This window comes from Homo sapiens, chromosome 3 (genome assembly GCF_000001405.40).
Source record: "Homo sapiens chromosome 3, GRCh38.p14 Primary Assembly".
In the NCBI taxonomy this organism is placed as follows: domain Eukaryota; kingdom Metazoa; phylum Chordata; class Mammalia; order Primates; family Hominidae; genus Homo; species Homo sapiens.
The window spans coordinates 175905153-175910485 of NC_000003.12; the positions used below are offsets into that span (position 1 = coordinate 175905153).

The following is a 5333-nucleotide window of genomic DNA, read 5'->3' on the forward strand; positions in this document are numbered from 1 at the left end:
CATTCAAAAGTTAGCAAGGTAAGAAATAACTAAGATCAGAGCAGAACTGAAGGAGATAGAGACACAAAAAACCCTTCAAAAAATCAATGAATCCAGGAGCTGGTTTTTTGAAAAGATCAACAAAATTGATAGACTGCTAGCCAGACTAATAAAGAAGAAAAGAGAGAAGAATCAAATAAATGCAATAAAAAGTGATAAAGGGGGTATCGCCACTGATCCCACAGAAATACAAACTACCATCAGAGAATACTATAAACACCTCCACATAAATAAACTAGAAAATCTAGAAGAAATGGATAAATTTCTGGGCACATACACCCTCCCAAGACTAAACCAGGAAGAAGTTGAATCCCTGAATAGACCAATAACAGGCTCTGAAATTGAGGCAATAATTAATTGTAGGGGTGGGTTGCCCCTCCACACCTGTGGGTGTTTCTCATAAGGTGGAACGAGAGACTTAGGAAAGAAAAAGACACAGAGACAAAGTATAGAGAAAGAAATAAGAGGACCCGGGGGACCAGCGTTCAGCATATGGAGGATCCCGCCAGCCTCTGAGTTCCCTTAGTATTTATTTATCATTTGTGGGTGTTTCTCCGAGAGGGGGATGTGTCAGGGTCACAAGACAATTGCGGGGAGAGGGTCAGCAGACAAACATGTGAACAAAGGTCTTTGCATCATAGACAACGTAAAGGATTAAGTGCTGTGCTTTTAGCTATGCATACACATAAACATCTCAATGCTTTACAAAGCAGTATTGCTGCCCGCAGGTCCCACCTCCAGCCCTAAGGCGGTTTTTCCCTATCTCAGTAGATGGAGCATACAATCGGGTTTTATACCGAGACATTCCATTGCCCAGGGACGGGCAGGAGACAGATGCCTTCCTCTTGTCTCAACTGCAAGAGGCATGCCTTCCTCTTATACTAATCCTCCTCAGCACAGACCCTTTACGGGTGTCGGGCTGGGGGACGGTCAGGTCTTTCCCTTCCCACGAGGCCATATTTCAGACTATCACATGGGGAGAAACCTTGGACAATACCTGGCTTTCCTAGGCAGAGGTCCCTGCGGCCTTCCGCAGTGTTTGTGTCCCTGGGTACTTGAGATTGGGGAGTGGTGATGACTCTCAAGGAGCATGCTGCCTTCAAGCATCTGTTTAACAAAGCACATCTTGCACCGCCCTTAATCCATTTAACTCTGAGTTGACACAGCACATGTTTCAGAGAGCACGGGGTTGGGGGTAAGGTTATAGATTAACAGAATCTCAAGGCAGAAGAATTTTTCTTAGTACAGAACAAAATGGAGTCTCCTATGTCTACTTCTTTCTACACAGACACAGTAACAATCTGATCTCTCTTGCTTTTCCCCACAATTAATAGCCTACCAACAAAAAAAGTCCAGGACCAGACGGATTCACAGCCGAATTCTTCCACAGGTAAAAAGAGGAGCTGGTACCATTCCTTCTGAAATTATTCCAGTCAATAGAAAAAGAGGGAATCCTCCCTAACTCATTTTATGAGGCCAGCATCATCCTGATACCAAAGCTTGGCAGAGACACAACAAAAAAAGAGAATTTTAGACCAATATCCCTGATGAACATCGATCCCAAAATCCTCAATAAAATACAGGTAAACCAAATCCAGCATCACATCAAAAATCTTATCCACCATGATCAAGTGTGCTTCATCCCTGGGATGCAAGGTTGGTTCAACATACACAAATCAATAAAAATAATCCATCATATAAACAGAACCAAAGACAAAAACCACATGATTATCTCAATAGACTTAGAAAAGGCCTTTGACAAAATTCAACAGCGCTTCATGCTAAAAACTCTTAATAAATTAAAATTAGGTATTGATGGAACATACCTCAAAATAATAAGAGCTATTTATAGCAAACCCACAGCCAATATCATACTGAATGGGCAAAAACTGGAAGCATTCCCTTTGAAAACTGGCACAAGACAGGGATGCCCTCTCTCACCACTCCTATTCAACATAGTGTTGGAAGTTCTGGCCAGGGCAATCAGGCAGGAGAAAGAAATGAAGGGTATTCAATTAGGAAATGAGGAAGTCAAATTGTCTCTGTTTGCAGATGACACGATCGTATATTTAGAAAACCCCATCGTCTCAGCCCAAAATCTCCTTAAGCTGATAAGCAACTTCAGCAAAGTCTCAGGATACAAAATCAATGTGCAAAATTCACAAGCATTCCTATACACCAATAACAGACAGAGAGCCAAATCACGAGTGAACTCCCATTCACAATTGCTTCAAAGAGAATAAAATATCTAGGAATCCAACTTACAAGGTATGTGAAGGACCTTTTCAAGGAGAACTACAAACCACTGCTCAACAAAATAAAAGACAACACAAACAAATGGAAGAACATTCCATGCTCATTGGTAGGAAGAATCAATATCATGAAAATGGCCATACTGCCCAATATAATTTATACATTCAATGCTGCCATCCCCATCAAGCTACCAATGACTTTCTTCACAGAATTGGAAAAAACTTTAAAGTTCATATGGAACCAAAAAAGAGCCCACATTGCCAAGACAATCCTAAGCAAAAAGAACAAAGCTGGAGGCATCACATTACCTGACTTCAAACTATACTACAAGACTGCAGTAACCAAAACAGCATGGTACTGGTACCAAAACAGAGATATAGACCAATGGAACAGAACAGAGCCCTCAGAAATAATATCACAAATGTACAACCATCTGATCTTTGACAAACCTGACAAAAACAAGAAATGGGGAAAGGATTCCCTTTTTAATAAATGGTGCTGGGAAAACTGGCTGGCCATATGTAGAAAGCTGAAAGTGGATCCCTTCCTTAAACCTTATACAAAAATCAATTCAAGATGGATTAAAGACTTAAATGTTAGACCTAAAACCATAAAAACCCTGGAAGAAAACCTAGGCAATACCATTTAGGACATAGGCATGGGCAAGGACTTCATGTCTAAACCACCAAAAGTAATAGCAACAAACGCCAAAATTGGCAAATGGGATCTAAATAAACTAAAGAGCTTCTGCACAGCAAAAGTAACTACCATCAGTGAACAGGCAACCTACAGACTGGGGGAAAATTTTTGCAATCTACCCATCTGACAAAGGGCTAATATCCAGAGTCTACAAAGAACTTAAACAAATTTACAAGAAAAAATCAAACAACCCTATCAAAAAGTGGGCAAAGGATATGAACAGACACTTCTCAAAAGAAGACATTTGTGCAGCCAACAGACACATGAAAAAATGCTCATCATCACTGGCCATCAGAGAAATGCAAATCAAAACCACAATGAGATATCATCTCACACCAGTTAGAATGGTGATCATTAAAAAGTCTGGAAACAACAGGTGCTGGAGAGGATGTGGAGAAATAGGAATGCTTTTACACTGTTGGTGGGACTGTAAACTAGTTCAACCATTGTGGAAGTCAGTGTGGCGATTCCTCAAGCATCTAGAACTAGAAATACCATTTGACCCAGCCATCCCATTACTGGGTATATACCCAAAGGATTATAAATCATGCTGCTATAAAGACACATGCACACATATGTTTATTGCAGCACTATTCTCAATAGCAAAGACTTGGAACCAACCCAAATGTCCATCAATGATAGGCTCGATTAAGAAAATGTGGCACATATACACCATGGAATAGTATGCAGCCATAAAAAATGATGAGTTCATGTCCTTTGTAGGGACATGGATGAAGCTGGAAACCATCATTCTCAGCAAACTATTGCAAGGACAGAAAAACAAACATTGCATGTTCTCACTCATAGGTGGGATTGAACAATGAGAACACTTGGACACAGGATGGGGAACATCACACACCAGGGCCTGTGGTGGAGTGGGGGGAGGGGGTGGGATAGCATTAGGAGATATACCTAATGTAAATGATGAGTTAATGGGTGCAGCACACCAATATGGCACATGTATACATATATAACAAACCTGCACATTGTGCACATGTACTGTGGAACTTAAAGTATAATAATAATAATAATAAAAGAAATAAATAGCAAATGACCATGTGTTCTGATTTAGTTTTTGCAATGAACATTTACGTTTGAATTACATGTAGCACTTCCTTTATATGACCAAATGGTACATTGTGGAATCCTGAACAACGATAGTGACTTGTATTTAATAGGGATTCAGTAAGATTTTGTGAAGCAAGTGAATGAATGAATAAATAAATAAATAAATAAATAAGAAAAGAAATTTGCTGGCCGGGCACAGTGGCTCACTCCTGTAATCCCAACACTTTGGGAGTCCGAGGTGGGTGGATCACGAGGTCAGGAGATCTAGACCATCCTGGCTAACATGGTGAAACCCCATCTCTACTAAAAATACAAAAAAATTAGCTGGGCGTGGCGAGGGCACCTGTAATCCCAGCTACTCAGGAGACTGAGGCAGGAGAATGGCGTGAACCCAGGAGGCGGAGCTTGCAGTGAGCTGAGATGGCGCCACTGCACTCCAGCCTGGGCGACAGAGCGAGACTCCGTCTCAAAAAAAAAGAAAAGAAATTTGCTTAATGCTAGTGTTAAAACAGATTTTCATTCTTGAGTTTTAAAGGAAAGAATTGCTTGGTGGAGAGGAATTAGACTTGTCCTGTATGGCTGTGCTCAAATTTAAACTAGTTTCAAAGGGTCAAAACTATCAATGTAAAAGAAGACTTTCTAAGACTGAGAGCTGTCTGCAGACAGTACTTAGATATTGTGAGTTCAAACACAGATAATGAGTGTTGGAATGAATGTTCTAGTTCATCTGTTGGATTTGTTGATTGATGGGTTGAAGTAGGTTCCCTCACAGTTTATTCTGATGCCAAAAGTTGATGATACCTTGCTGTGTTTTCTCTAGTGTGTGAGCAGTGCAGGTAAGTTTGAAGGCAGGACAAGGAAGGGTGGAGATGCAGTAGGTGTGTGCAAGCCAAATCAGCTAGTGATTTTCTTACCATACAGAGCTTAGAAAATAATTTTTAAAAAGTATTTTGAGAAGCATTTGGTCAGCTACTTTATTAAAATTCAGGCTGAGTAAAGAGAGGTTGAAATCAGTGCATGGGAAGAATTCTTAAAGATGGTATTAGTTTTTCATTACTATGAAATAAATTATGTGGTTTAAATTAATAAACATTTAGTATCTCACAGTTTCTGTGGTTAAGAAAAATTGTGGTTGTTAGCTAGGGGTCTCTCATGAGCTTGCCGTTAAGATGTCAGCTGGGCTGCAGTCATCTGAAGGCTTAACTGAGGCTGGGCCACTCACTTCTAGAATGCCTCACTCATGACACTGTTAGAGGCCTCCACTCACTGCTGAC

At 40.4% G+C, this 5333-nt stretch overlaps 1 annotated feature.

Moving 5' to 3' along the window:
* Positions 396–952: an enhancer, noted in NCBI's record as "OCT4-NANOG-H3K27ac hESC enhancer chr3:175623336-175623892 (GRCh37/hg19 assembly coordinates)". NCBI's record gives its function as "activates a minimal SCP1, AML or CMV promoter by ChIP-STARR-seq in primed H9 embryonic stem cells {active_cell/tissue: H9 hESC(primed)}" and the evidence as "EXISTENCE:reporter gene assay evidence [ECO:0000049][PMID:30033119]".